Below are 14,397 nucleotides of genomic sequence, written 5' to 3' on the forward strand. Positions count from 1 at the left end.
TTATTACCTTTAAAAGATGAGGCAATTGAGGCTTAGTAAAGTTAAATAATTTGCTCACAGTTATTATGTTGTCTGGATTCAAACTCACATCTGTGTGACTCCAGAATGTCTGCTCTTTAAAACACGATGTCCCACAGGAATCATAGAACAGAGCAAGAATGCTGCTGCCATTCCTTGCGGCAGAGTCTGTGTTTATCCTAACAGAGCTGTTTCAGTGGGGCAAGCATGTTTACTAGGGAACTAGGCTGGACCATCCATCTGGAGGCTTGAGTTCTAGTTTTGACTTTCATCTGCTGCCTTTGTGACCTTGAGCAAGTCACTTAAATACATACGAGGTTCAGATTCAAATCAGTAACCTGGGAATAATAGCAGAGTTGCACAGAGGATCAAGTGAGAATATAATAATAGTAACTTTATAATAGTTTGTGGAAGAGAATAAGGGGCCTAGCTTACCATATGTGCATTTTGAAAAACAGAATACCTCCCCTCTGATGTTATTTGAATTTTATTTGCTACTTCTTGAAAGTGAAAGGTTTATTTCATGCTTCTGGGAATGAACCTGAGGTTTCAGACAGGGTGAACCAAGAACTTGGAAACTGAAGCTTCGGACTATCAAACACATTAATAAGCAAAAACATTTAGTGCAGAAATAACTAATGAAAGTATAATAATACGGACTTGTGTGAGTGGTTGGGAAGGAGATGGATTTGACACCGAAATGAATGATGATCAGAGATTAAAATTGTATTAGGCCCCTCCTTTCTGTGACTCTTGTTATGTCAGAGCAGACTGAAGTTTTGTATGGAACACGTATAGTTAAATTGTTCTATACCTTACTCAGCAGTCACTATCAGTGATCCAGAATGCATATGATCTCTAAAAATAAATTTCACAAACTTGATGTAAAGCTTACTCTTGAACAACACGGGGTTTAACATGCTGACCCCTGCACAGTTAAAAGTCTGTGTGTAACTTTTGACTCCGCCAAAACTTAAATAGCCTACTATTGACTGGAAGCCTTACCAGCAACATAAATAGTTGGCTAACATATAATTAGACTAGTATCTACATATATTTTAGGCACTCATGACATACCTAATTTTGTCTTAATTTTTTTGATATTTCTGGGCTTTGCAGTTCATCTGTGAGTTTTCACAAATTGTCGCAAATCTCCAAATAGTTTTCCAATATATTTTTTTGAAAAGAATCTGTGTGTAAGTGGAATCACATAGTTTAAACCTATATTGTTTAAGGGTCAACTGTATTTTATAGACAGCACACTCATCTCTTACTTAACCTATTTTTATTAGAATTAAATACATCTAATTAATTTTTTGGCTGATTTCCATGCCTACTGCAGTTAGAATGCAGGGGTTGGGGGCAGGAATGGGGGTAGGGACTTCATGCAGTCATTCAGTGTTGAGAAGTGATAGGAGGAGCCTGACCAAAAAGGGGAAAAATCCAGAACATAGTAAGTTTTCTTGATATGGCATCTTTAAATAAAAAGTGTATTCACATCTGTGCACTCATGTCAGTTTTGTGAGATAGTTTAAGAAGGTAATGGTATTAACAATTTTTTATGGGGAAGAAAGTTGGGACCCAGAGAGTTTCAGTGCCTCTCTCAGGGGCTGGCAGCTTATGTGAGATAGGCTAAGCTAGGAATTGAACCCAGCTCATGAGATTCCACACCTTGCAATTTCCTGGCAGAGATGCAGAGAAGCAGACCAGAGCAGCCTCCTGGATCTTGGGGGCATTATGTTTGAGTGCTCAGTGGGATTAATGTTACTGGTGATTGCCTGGGAAACACTAATAAAGGTTAAATCATGTTGATGTGGTCCATTTAAGAAGATGGGAAAGAGTTCCCCATTTTGGCAACATTTTCATCTAGAATAATTTAAAATTAGAAAACAAAACTGTTTGGTACTCAACGAGTATAACCACAAATATCTGGAACACTTCGTTGATCAAAGTGGCTCATTTCCTGAGGGTCTAAATTGCTGTTTTCTTTGGTTTGTTTGTTAGTTTTTTCACTCTGTAATGGCACTTGAAAGGTGTTTTGTGTGTAGAATAGACGAAAAGTAAACCAGTACAGTGGCCTTTAAACTTTTTTACTCCTGTAAAAGAATTTTGAAAACTATGGATTACTTTATTGACATTTGAAATTTTTCATCGTAAGTCTAAATCATTTGCTAATGGTGTAATTGCCATTTTATTGTAAATTTTGGCATTTCTTAGTAAAATTGTTATATTCTTAAATATATTTGTCTTAAGCAAAGCCTATAACTTTATAATACTTTATGTTGTCCACTTATGAACTACTGTTTGTGTGAAATTTTTGTGTTAATTTGCCTCCTTAAAACTTTTTCCACATTTTATCTTTATATATTGTTATGTTTAAAAATCTATTGATTACCCTATCATATTTCTGGTAAAAAAGTTAATTTTCTGTGACCATACGGCTCCCAGTGATTGTTTTTAAAAAGTATCATTAGAGTGATGATTAGAACACAGTAGGTCAGAATACACATGTAAATTGCAAAGCTTTGAAAAATATTAGAGATAAAAATACAGTTTTACTAGAAATTTATCTCTTTATGCATCATTGGTGTTTTTCTTCTAATTAATTCATAATTAGTATATGAATATTATTGGGGAAAGAGTTCAGCATATTTTTCATTCTTTTTAAATATATACACTCTGGAATTTTGTTTACATAAGTTGAAAGAATGAGAGTACTTATATAGCAGTGTTGCTCATTTCTTTCAATGATTTATCATGTAAAATTATTTTTGATGATTTAATGATTTATCAGCTGACAACTCAATTAGGTCCTTCTCCAATTTTATTCTAAACAAAGAATTGGCAAAGCCACCTGAGTGGCAAAAGAAGAGTGATTGATTAGGGCCATTCACTTTTTCACCAACAGTATTTCCAATTGTCCCCTTGTGTCCTGCCCAGAGGTTTTGTTTTGTTTTGTTTTGTTTTGTTTTTGGTCCCCTACCCCAAGCAATGCCCCAGAGTGAGAAACTGATGATGGGTGAGCTGTGTGCCTGATTTTGTAAAATGGGAGAATGAGGGGTTTGGGAAAGGGAAGGTAAGATAGGGTAATCTACTCCCCTGGAGCACTCTCAGACAGGTCAGTTTTAGGAGAGGGTACTTGGAAAAGTTGACATGGAAATTGATTTACTACCTGTGTGCCTGCATATCCTTTGGAAAACCATGTGCTTCCAGAAGTTTGCTTATCCCAGTTTGAAGACTATTGTGATAGTCATTGGCGTATTTTGGCATCTTAATTTTTTAATAAGAATTTCTAGGGGGTGTGTGTGTATGTGTCCCTTAAACTTAGAACACTGCTGACCAAGGTAAATTGTTTATGCTGTCTAGGGTAATGTCTTAGGTCTTTGGTCTTGATTGCATCTATGCATCTGTTTATAAATTGTCTTTTCCTGCGCATGAGTCTTTGCAATCCTAATTCTCTGTAAGTTTTCCAGATCAGGAGTGACACTTGAACTACCTGTAGCTTATCCCCCTTTATATCTTGTGCTAGTCTTACTCACATTGACTAGTACTTTGGCAAAGCAGATCTAAAATAGCTTAATATAGGGAACTACTTGCAATTTTGAGTAAACAACAAACAATTGGCCACAGTAAGATTACTTTCTGCTTCCCGGCTTATTTATTTTGGGTGTCAGTTTATAAAATTACAATAGTACAAAAGACTGCAGATATAATTTATATTAATTCTTTAGTTTTACAGAAAATGAAACTAGAGAGGTTATGCCAATTGCCTGAAGTCACATAGGTGGTAGGAAAAAAGTAGAACCTATGTCCCTTAACTCCCAGTATTATAACCTTTGCTACATCACACCTTCTGCTGCCTTTTGGCAGATTGCATTCCTCACCTCAATCCTATTTAATACTATTTCTCTTGAGGACTGATTAGCTTTTAGTGATGCAGCATTATTTTTTAAATGGAAAGGCATTTACTCTCTCATTGAAGACTTTCTCAAAACAAAAATGCTTCTTACCCGCTGGCAGACACTTTCTGCCCCACAATAGGACCCAGCTAGGCAAGCCTGGGGCCCTCTGGCCCCAGGCAGTGACCCTGGGGGAGGAAGGGGATATTAACAGGTCAGAGTAGAGGTGGATTGGCAGAGCGGGGGCTGGTGGGAGGTGGGAAGCTTACATCATTTCCCTGCAACTGGGCTCTGGCGGGGCTGTAAGGCCTTACTTTCCCCTGTGTAATAGTTTACCAGATTGACAGAGATTCATACAAGGAAGGAAAGGTATGGCAGGATGGATGTTCACGCTGTTTATAAATCCTTGCTATTAGATGAAACTGTCAATAAGTAACTAGAAGCAGCCAGTACTGTCTGTGCTTCGCTCTCTCCCCCAGCTGAGTTCCTTTCTGCTCCGCCCCATCCCTGCTCTCTGCTGCTCAGATCAGCTTCCTGCTTCTCATGAAAGCTGTTCCCCTATAAAGCTGGTCTGCTTTCACTGAAAGAATTATATTCATAAGTCTGAGGCTGGTTTTGTGGAAGTATTGTTGGTTTGGTTTCCTTTGGGGGATGAAGGAGGAGGAAACAATTTTTTTTAAAAAAAAAGTGGGGGCAGGCTGAAAGAGCAAAATCATCTTGAATTTTGTTGTCACATCGTGCCGGTGTTATAACCAGCTCTGTAGACTGCCGCACTGAAAACATTTCTGTGAGAGGTATGTGCTTGAAAAATGGAAAGGTGTTGGCTGTGGAACAAACTGCCCGTCCAGCAGCTGCTTAGATGGCTGTAAGGTCGTAATTCTATCTAGTGTTTTGATATGGAAAGGGTAATCCTTACTTGAAACGTAGTACAGTTAACCAGCTTAATGGTAAAAAAGGTTAAATATGTGCTTCGTCCCCACATCAGGACTCCTGAAATGCTGGTTCAGGCTGAAAACGTCTAGTCAAATCCACAGTGTTATTCCAGGCTCTTTTGGTGGCGGTTGTCTGTAAACAAGATGATGATTTTTAATACGTCTCTCATTATTTATGAACCACATGACAAAGATTAATGAGAGACTCCAAGTAGCCTAGAAGCTTCAGATTCATGAGGAGCTTTTTGCACTGACAGATGGCAAAAGTAAAAGGAAATGGGTGATGATTTATTGTAAACTAAAGTGAAAGTTTTAAAGTTTTTAGAGGGTGTGTTACATTTAAGTGGAAAAATCTGGAGGAGCCACTAAAATTTAGAAGCATAGCCTAAAACCATTGATGCCTGACCTATATTAAGGCCAGAAGCCTTTTGAACACACATGCATGTATATTTTCAAAGGAAATTAAGAAATCTTTATACATGTTTTTATTCAGTAGTCAGAGAAAAGTATTAAGAACAAGACTATAACCAATACCTAAGGAAGCATGGAGAACTGTATATTGGTTACTAAGAAGCCACATTGTTCTGTTATAGAAAGTTTTAGAAATGTTTGAAGTAGGAAAATATATAACATTTTATCATGTGCGTTAGATGAGCTACTAGTGGTAGAGACCATTCAAGCTACAAAGTAGTTTCTGCTTGATTTGAATTATTTTATCATGGAAGATACTGGAGAACATTTGAATGTTAGTATGTTTTAAATTTATTTTACAAAACTTGGGAAATTAAATTGTTTAAGTTAATTTACATACAAAGGTGCTGGCACTGTTCTTTTCCACAAAGACAGTAGTGCTTAAATCTTTGAAACCTTTTATTCATGAATAGAATACACTGGCTGTTATAACCCAAGCTATTACAAATTCTTGAGAGTGCGCCATTTAAATTTCGTTTCTTCTCAAATATTTGTAAACAGGAGTTAATCTTCATGATCATAGAGGATAATGTTGGGCCTAACAAGTTAAAAATATTAAAAGTTCTAGAGAAGACGGAATCTGGGAAGTAAACCTAATACAGGCCTCTGAGGAGGACTCACCTCTACACCACAGAGAGACAGGTGGCCATCCTGACTGTCCATGTGTACCTTGCTTTACTGTGCTTCACTTTATTGCACATCACAGATACTGTATTTTTTACAAATTGAAGATCTGTGGCAACTCTGCCTCAAGCAAGTCTATCAGCACCACTTTGCCAGCAGTATGCCCTCACTTCCTGTTTCTGTGTTACAATTTGGTCATTCTTGTAACATTTCAAATATTTTCATTATTATCATATCTGCTATGGTGATCTGTGAGGAGTGCTCTTTGTTGTTACTATTGTAATTGTTTTGGGGCACCACGAACTGCACCCATACACAACTGCAAACTTAATTGGTAAAAGTTGTGTGTTCTGATTGCTCCACCCACTGGCCGTTCCCATCTTTCTCCCTCAGGCCTCCCGATTGTCTCCAACACAACAATATTGAAATTAGGCCAATTAATTACCCTGTAGTGGCTTTTAAGTGTTGAAGTGAAAGGGTCTCATGTTTCCCACTTTAAATGAAAAGCTAGAAATGATTAAGCTTATTGAGGAAGGCATGTCAAAAGGTGAGAGAGGTGAAATGGTAGGCCTCTTACACTAGCAGCTAACCAAGTTGTGAATGCAAAGGAAAAGTTCTTGAAGAAAATTAAAAGTACTACTTCAGTGAACACACAATGATAAGAAAGCAAAACAACTTTGTTGTTGATACGGAGAAAGTTTGGTCTGGATAGATCAAACCAGCCACAACACTCCCTTAAGCCAAAGACTAATCCAGAGCAAGGCCCTAACTCTCTTCAATCCTCTGAAGGCTGAGAGAGATGAAAAAGCTGCAGAAGAAAAGTTTGAAGCTAACAGAGGTTGGTTCATGAGGTTTAAGGAAAGAAGCTGTCTCTATAACATAAAAGTGCAAGAGGAAGCAGCAAGTGCTGATGGAGAAGCTACAGCAAGTTATCCAGAAGATCTAGATAAGACTATTGATGAAGGCAGCTACACTAAACAACATATTTTCAATGTGGACAAAATAGCCTTCAGTTGGAGGAAGGTGCTATCTAGGATTTTCACAGCTAGAGAGAAGTCAATGCCTAGCTTCAAAGAGCTTCAAAGGACAGGCTGACTCTTTTTAGGTGCTAATGCAGCTGGTGATTTTATAAGATAAAGCCATTGCTCATTTACCATTCCAAAAATATCAGGACTCTTAAGGATTCTGCTAAATCTGTTCTGACTGTGCTCTATCAATGCAACAACCAAGCATGGATGACAGTACATTTGTTTACAGCAGGGTTTATTGAATATTTCAAGCCCACTGTTGAGACCTGCTGCTCGGAAAAAATGTTTCCTTTCAAAATGTTTCTGCTCATTGACTATGTACCTAGTCACACAAGAGCTCTGATGGAGGTGTACAAGGAGATTAATGTTGTTTTCATGCTGCTAACACAGCATTCATTCTGTAGCCCATGGATCTGGAGTAATTTTGACTTCAAAGTCTTATTATTTAAGAAATACATTTCCTAAGGCTACAGCTGCTATAAATAGTGATTATAGTGATTGCTCTGATGGATCTGGGCATAGTCATTGAAAACCTTCTGGAAAGATTCACCATTCTAGATGCCATTAAGAATATTGGTGATTTGGCCAGACATGGTGGCTCACACCTATAATCTCAGCACTTGGGAGGCCAAGGCAGGAGGATCACTTGAGCCCAGGAGTTTGAGATCATCAGCCTGGGCAACATAGTGAGACCTTGTCTCAAAAAATATATATTGGTGATTCATTGGGAGGAGGTGAAAATATCAACATTAACAGGAGTTTGGAAGAAGTTGCTTCTACCCCTCATGGATGACATTGAGGGATTCAAGCCATCAGTGGAAAGGATAACTGTAGAAGTGGTAGAAATAGCAGGAAAACTGAAATTAGAAGTGGAGACTGAAGATATGACTGAATTGCTGTAGTCTTACAATGGATACTTGAACCGATGAGGAGGAGTTGCTTCTTGTGGATGAGCAAAGAAACTGGTTTTTCAAATGGAATCTACTTCTAATAAAGATGCTGTGAACATTGTTGAAATGACAACAAAAGATTTAGACCATTATATAAACTTAGTTGACAAAGCAGTGGTGGGGTTTAAGAGGATTGATTCCAGTGTTTTTTTGTTTTGTTTTGTTTTGTTTTGTTTTGTTTTGAGACGGAGTCTCGTTCTGTCATTCAGGCTGGAGTGCAGTGGCACAATCTCAGCTCACTGCAAGCTCCACCTCCCAGGTTCACGCCATTCTCCTGCCTCAGCCTCCCAAGTAGCTGGGACTATAGGCTCCCGCCACCATGCCTGGCTAATTTTTTTTTGTTTTTAGTAGAGACGGGGTTTCACCCTGTTGGCCAGGATGGTCTCGATCTCTTGACATTGTGATCCACCTGCCTCGGCCTCCCAAAGTGCTGGGATTACAGGCGTGAGCCACTGTGCCCAGCCTGATTCCAGTTTTGAAAAAAGTGTGTAAAATGCTATCAAACCACATCTCCTGGTACAGATCCATCTTTTGTGAAAGGAAGAGTCAATGCATTAAACTTTCTTGTCATCTTATTTTTTATTTATTTATTTTTTTGAGACGGAGTCTCGCTCTGTCGCCCAGGCTGGAGTGCAGTGGTGGGATCTCAGCTCACTGCAACCTCTGCATCCCAGGTTCAAGTGATTCTCCTGCCTCAGCCTCCTGAGTAGCTGGGATTACAGGTGCATGCCACCATGCCTGGCTAGTTTTTGTATTTTTAGTAGAGATGGGGGTTTCACCATGTTGACCAGGATGGTCTCGATCTCCTGACCATGTGATCCACCAGCCTCGGCCTTCCAAGGTGCTGGGATCACAGATGTGAGCCACCGTACCCGGCCTCCTTGTCATCTTATTTTAAGAAATTGCTACAGCCATCCTGACATTCAGCAACCACCACCTTGATCTGTCGGCAGCCATCAACATGGAGGCAAGACCCCTCAGCAGCAAAGGGTATGACTCACTGATGATCACTAGCGTTTTTAAAATATAAGATATTTTAAAATTTAGTGTGTACTTTTTTTTTTAGAAATAATGTTATTTGCTTGCTTAATATAGTACAGTATCGTGTAAACCTAATTTTTGTATGCACTGGGAAACCAAAAAGTTGGTGAGACTTGCCTTCTTGTGATACTGGCTTTATTGTGGTGGTCTGGAACTGAACCCATAGTATCTCCAAGGATTGCCTGTCTTTACCGTGGTCATTCTCAAGTGTAGCTGCGTATTGGAACCCCCAGGGAAGTTTTTAATTCCTCCCATTGCCCGGGCCTTTCCCGAGAGATTTTAATTTAATTGCTTGGGGATGGGGCCTGGGCATTGATAGTTTTAAAACTATTCCCAGGTGTTTCTGATGTGTAGTCAGACTTGACAGTTGCATTGCCTGAACATTCCTAGTGCTATAGCAGCCTGTTCCGTTTTGGGTACTGTTTGTATCTGCTTTGGTATGTGTCCTCTTAGGTCGGAACTCTTCTGTCACAGAGCAGCTCATGACATATTTAATATCATTTCTCCTCCAAGACTTAGCTTTTCCAGCCTAAATAGTCCTAGTTCCTGCAGTCTTCAGGACTTATTTTCTAGGTTCTTCGGTATTCTGGTCACTCCCCTTCCTGGAATTGCTCTTGTTTGTCACTATTACTCTTAAATAGGGTACTTTTGGGACTGAGCCTATCATTCTAGATGTCTGGGGCCCAGCAGAGGATGCAGAGAATACAGTAAAGCTGTAACTCCATGGTTCTGTACATGACACTTCTGTTATTGGTGGCCAAGATTACATTAGTTTTTTTGGCAGTCATGTCACACTGTTGACTCATGTGGAGCTCAAAGTCAGCTCAAGCCCTTAGTTCTTTTTCAAGTACATAAACTACTTAAATCAGGCCTCTCCTTCCCCATGCTTACATGGCTTTCCCACCCCCGCCCCAACTTTATTGCCAGAATTTACATTTTTCCTTTTGAAACATAAGAGGAAAACCCAGTGGATAAGTTATTCCACACAGGGAGATAATACATCCAAACTGAATGCCAGAAATTTATTACATGTATACAGCAGCAATTTTAAAGAATGATCTAGGCCCTTCGTTTGGAGCCACAGTTAAATATATTCTTATTTCAGTTCATCTTTACAGTGTGCCTTTTGATTCATTACTCAAAACTCACTGTTCAGAGTTAAGAATTTACTTGACTGCGTAGCTTATTTTAATGTTTGTATTCAGTACTCGGTGAGATGCCTTTTCACAATCAAAATACATGATAACCATTGCATTCTCCTGACCTATTGGCATAACACCTTTATTTTAAAAGGAAATGTGTTGTATCTATCATAACATTCTTGATTAACAACAGAAGGAAATATTTTGCAAATGAGCAGGTGATTTGTGTACAGTTCACTACTGTCAAGCCTAGAACCCCAATCTAACTCTGCTGGTCCCCACTTCATTACTCTTTGTATCAAACCACAGTAGCTGATGCAATTTGTCATTTAGGATAAGACTTCAAAGAAAACTAAAAGGAAACAAAAGCTTCCATGGATTCTTCACTTTCTATTTTTTTTTTTGGGGGGGGGATTTAATATTAAACCCCACAGCATTTTAACATATAGCCCAGTCATGGATTTGTTATTCACTCAGTGTTCTGCCCAAAGCAATAAAAAGAGGAGTAAAATAACTAAAGTCAACATTCCTAAGGTTACTGCAGAGAATAGTTTTCTTAGGAATTTGGGCATCCAAATTTTTACTTTCCTTGGAGAGTTAGATATCCCTTCCTTCTCCTACCACCCTCTCACCACCCAAACACACACACAGTTGATGGTAGAGTAATATCGTTTTGTTCTTAATAAATCACAGTATGAGAACTTTTGCATATAAAGGGACAGGCATGTATGTCCCATCTCCTCATTTTGCAGATGAAGAAATGGAAGCACAGGAAGTGAAGGCTTGCTGTAGACATAGTGCTTAGCCAGGGTACTTAGTACATAAGACATACTAGTATGTAAGACATGCTTAATAATTACCTGGATGCTGAGCAGCTTTCTTCAGTACTATTTTCTTGTCCCCAAGCTTTTTGGATTTTACCTTTCTTGTCCCCAAGCTTTGCTGTTGGATACTCATTGCCTTAACTGTTGAAAATGGAACAGATTTTTCAAGAATACCTATTACTTTCGAAAAGCTCCAATGATATAGTAAAAGTTCAGATAACCAGGTTTATTTTTCCTGCTCTTGACTTTTAGGAAAATAAGCTCTTTTTCTCCCCTTTAAAAATTGATTTTAAATAGTTGTAGTTAAAAAAAGAGGAGTTTCCAAAGAATGAATAGCCTAGGGTCAGTTTGTATATGTATCTAACCCAAATGTTCACATCTTTGTTTGGGTCCAGTGAGAAATAATGTTCACAACAATGCTTATCCTAATATATGGTAAGACCCACGGTCAGCAGTGGGAGATTTAATTATGTTCACTATATTGTAGTTACTAAAGCAAGGAAGTATACTCTAATATATTTTAAAATGGTTTGCAATAGCAGATGTTTGAAACAAAAAGGCTTCAGAAGTACATTTAGTCAATCAGACTGGGCTATTCCTTCAGCCGTTTGGTTAATACAGGTTGATTGTGTTCCTTCATAGTTTGGAAGCCCCTGGTTTTATTAACCTGAGGCTGGCATCATATCATAATAATACCATGTGATGCGACACTTTTGAAACATCCTTGGTTTCTCTACCCCAGTATTTCCAAATGTCTGTTTCCTATTTTGTAGAATATTTTATATTACTCAATTAATATTGGTTATATTTTTACATGGCTATTTCTCTCTTTTTAAAAAGTTTTTATTTTGAATTTTTGTGGGTACCTTGTAGATATATATATTTATGGAGTATGTGGGATATTTTGATACAGGCACACAATGTATAATAATCACATCAGGGTAAATGGGGTATCCATCACCTCAAGTCTTTATCCTTTGTGTTACAAACAATCCGATTATACTCTTTTAGTTATTTTTAAATGTATGATTAAATTATTGACTATAGTCACCATTCTGTGCTATCAACTACTAGATCTTATTCCTTATAACGACTTTTTTATACCCATTAACCATCCCCACTTCCCCCCACTCTCTGGTAACCATCATTCTACTCTCTATCTCCAATGGTTCAGTTGTCTTAATTTTTAGCTTCCCAAGATTAGTGAAAACATATGATGTTTGTCTTTCTCTGCCTGGCTTATTAACTTAATGACCTCCAGTTTCATCCATTTTGTTGCAAATAACAAGATCTTATTCTTTTTTTTTTGAGATGGAGTCTCACTCTGTCACGCAGGCTGGAGTGCAACAGCACTGTGTCGGCTCACTGCAACCTCCATCTCCTGGGTTCAGGCAATTCTCCTGCCTCAGCCTCCCGAGTAGCTGGGATTACAGGTGCCCACCTCCATGCCTAGCTAATATTTATATTTTTGGTAGAGACAGGGTTTCACCGTGTTGGCTCCTGACCTCAGGTGATCCACCCGCCTCGGCCTCCCAAAGTGCTGGGATTACAGGTGTGAGCCACTGTGCCTGGTCAAGATCTTATTCTTTTTTAAGACTGAATAGTATTCCATTGTGTGTGTGTACCACATTTTCTTTGTTCATTCATCTGTTGATGGACACTTAGGTTGCTTCCAAATCTTGGCTATTGTGAGTAGTGCTGCAGTAAACATGGGAGTGCATGTGTCTATTTGACATATTGATTTGCTTTCTTTTAGGTAGTATATATCTAGCAGTGGGATTGCTAGATTATGTGGTAGCTCTATTTTTAGTTTTCTGAGGAACCTCCCAACCGTTCTCCATAGTGGTTGTACTGATTTACATTCCCACCTGCAGCGTGCAAGGGTTTCCTTTTCTCCGTATCCTTGCCAGCATTTGCTGTTGCCTGTCTTGGATAAAAGCCATTTTAACTGGGGTGAGATAATACCTCACTGTAATTTTATTTCCATTTCTCTGATAATGAGTGATATTGTGTACCTTTTTATATACCTGTTGCTGTTTGTATGTCTTCTTTTGAGAGATGTCTAGTCAGATCTTTTGGCCATTTTAAAATTAGATTATTTGATTATTTTTTCCTTAAGAGTTGTTTGAGCTCCTTATATATTCTGTTTATAAATCCCTTGTCAGATGGATAGTTTGCAAATATTTTCTCTCATTCTGTGGGTTGTCTCTTCACTTTGCTGATTGTTTCCTTTGTTTTGCAAGAAACTTTTTGACTTGATATGATCCCATCTGTCCGTTTTCTCTTTGGTTGCCTGCGCTTGTGGGGTATTACTCAGGAAATCTTTGCCCACTCCAAAGTCCTGGCAAGTTTCTCCAATTTTTTTCTTTTAGTAGTTTCATAGTTTGAGGTCTTCGATTTAAGTCTTTAATCCATTTATCCATTTTGATTTTATTTTTGTATATGGTGAGATATAGGAGTCTAGTCTCATTCTTCTGCATATGGATATCGGTTTCCCAGGATCATTTATTGAAGAGACTGTCCTTTCCCCAGTGTATGTTCTTGGTACCTTTGTCAAAAATGAGTTCACCATAGATGTATGGATTTGTTTCTGGGTTCTCTATTCTGTTCTATGTCTATGTGTTTGTTATGCCAGCTCCATGCTGTTTGGTTGCTATAGCCCAGTAGTATACTTTGAAGTCAGTTAAGGTGATTCCTCCAGTTTTGTTCTTTTTTGCTTAGGATGAGTTTGGCTAGTCTGGGTCTTTTGTGGTTGTGTATAAATTTTAGGAATTTTTTTTCTATTTCTGTGAAGAATGTCATTGCTATTTTGAGAGGGATTATATTCAATCCGTAGATTGCTTGGGTAGTATGGACATTTTAATAATACCGATTCTTACAATCTTTGAACATGGAGTATCTTTTCATTTTCTTGTGTCCTTTTTGATTTCTTTTACCAATGTTAAATAGTTTTCATTGTAGAGATCTTTCACTTCTTTGGTTAAATTAATTCCTGTGTGTTTAATTTTATTCATAGCTATTATAAATTGGATTACTTTTTTGACTTCTTTTTCAGATTGTTCGCATATAGAAATGCTACTGATTTTAGTACACTGATCTTGTATCCTGCAAATTTACTGAATCTGTTTATAAGTTCTAATAGTTTTTGGGGGAATCTTTAGGTTTTTCAAAATATATGATCATATCATCTGCAAACAAGGATGACTTGACTTCTTCCTTTCCAATTTGGATGCCCTTTATTGCCTAAGAAACTTGTCTGATTGCTCTAGCTAGGACTTCCAGTACTCTTAACGGTGGTGAAAGTAGGTGTCCTTGTCTTGTTCCAGATCTTAGAGGAAAGGCTTTTAGTTTTTTCATCCTGTTGCTATGATGTATCACACTGATTGATTTGCATATGTTGAGCCATCCTTGCATCCCTGGGGTAAATCACACTTGATTATGATGAATGATTTTCTTAATGTGTTATTG

The 14,397-nt window shown here is 38.2% G+C and overlaps 1 protein-coding gene across 14 annotated transcripts in view, besides 2 other annotated features; it reads left to right on the forward strand.

Annotated features, from left to right (window-relative positions):
• Positions 1-14,397, forward strand: part of BBX (BBX high mobility group box domain containing) — a 288,378-nt gene that overhangs the window by 71,916 nt on the left and 202,065 nt on the right. For 2 of the 14 annotated variants that reach the window (XM_047448597.1, XM_024453651.2), the window contains exon 1: positions 4,441-4,711. The exons of 11 other annotated variants lie outside the window; for them this stretch is intronic. The gene's annotated coding sequence lies outside the window, so the exon portion shown is untranslated. Of the gene's footprint in view, positions 1-4,158; positions 4,287-4,440; positions 4,712-14,397 lie in introns of those variants that run through there. One more of the 14 variants, XM_024453653.2, reaches the window with a different exon arrangement.
• Positions 3,637-4,459: an enhancer, noted in NCBI's record as "NANOG-H3K27ac hESC enhancer chr3:107317361-107318183 (GRCh37/hg19 assembly coordinates)". NCBI's record gives its function as "activates a minimal SCP1, AML or CMV promoter by ChIP-STARR-seq in primed H9 embryonic stem cells {active_cell/tissue: H9 hESC(primed)}" and the evidence as "EXISTENCE:reporter gene assay evidence [ECO:0000049][PMID:30033119]".
• Positions 6,127-6,627: an enhancer, noted in NCBI's record as "H3K27ac hESC enhancer chr3:107319851-107320351 (GRCh37/hg19 assembly coordinates)". NCBI's record gives its function as "activates a minimal SCP1, AML or CMV promoter by ChIP-STARR-seq in primed H9 embryonic stem cells {active_cell/tissue: H9 hESC(primed)}" and the evidence as "EXISTENCE:reporter gene assay evidence [ECO:0000049][PMID:30033119]".

The sequence above is a fragment of the Homo sapiens genome, chromosome 3 (genome assembly GCF_000001405.40).
Source record: "Homo sapiens chromosome 3, GRCh38.p14 Primary Assembly".
In the NCBI taxonomy this organism is placed as follows: domain Eukaryota; kingdom Metazoa; phylum Chordata; class Mammalia; order Primates; family Hominidae; genus Homo; species Homo sapiens.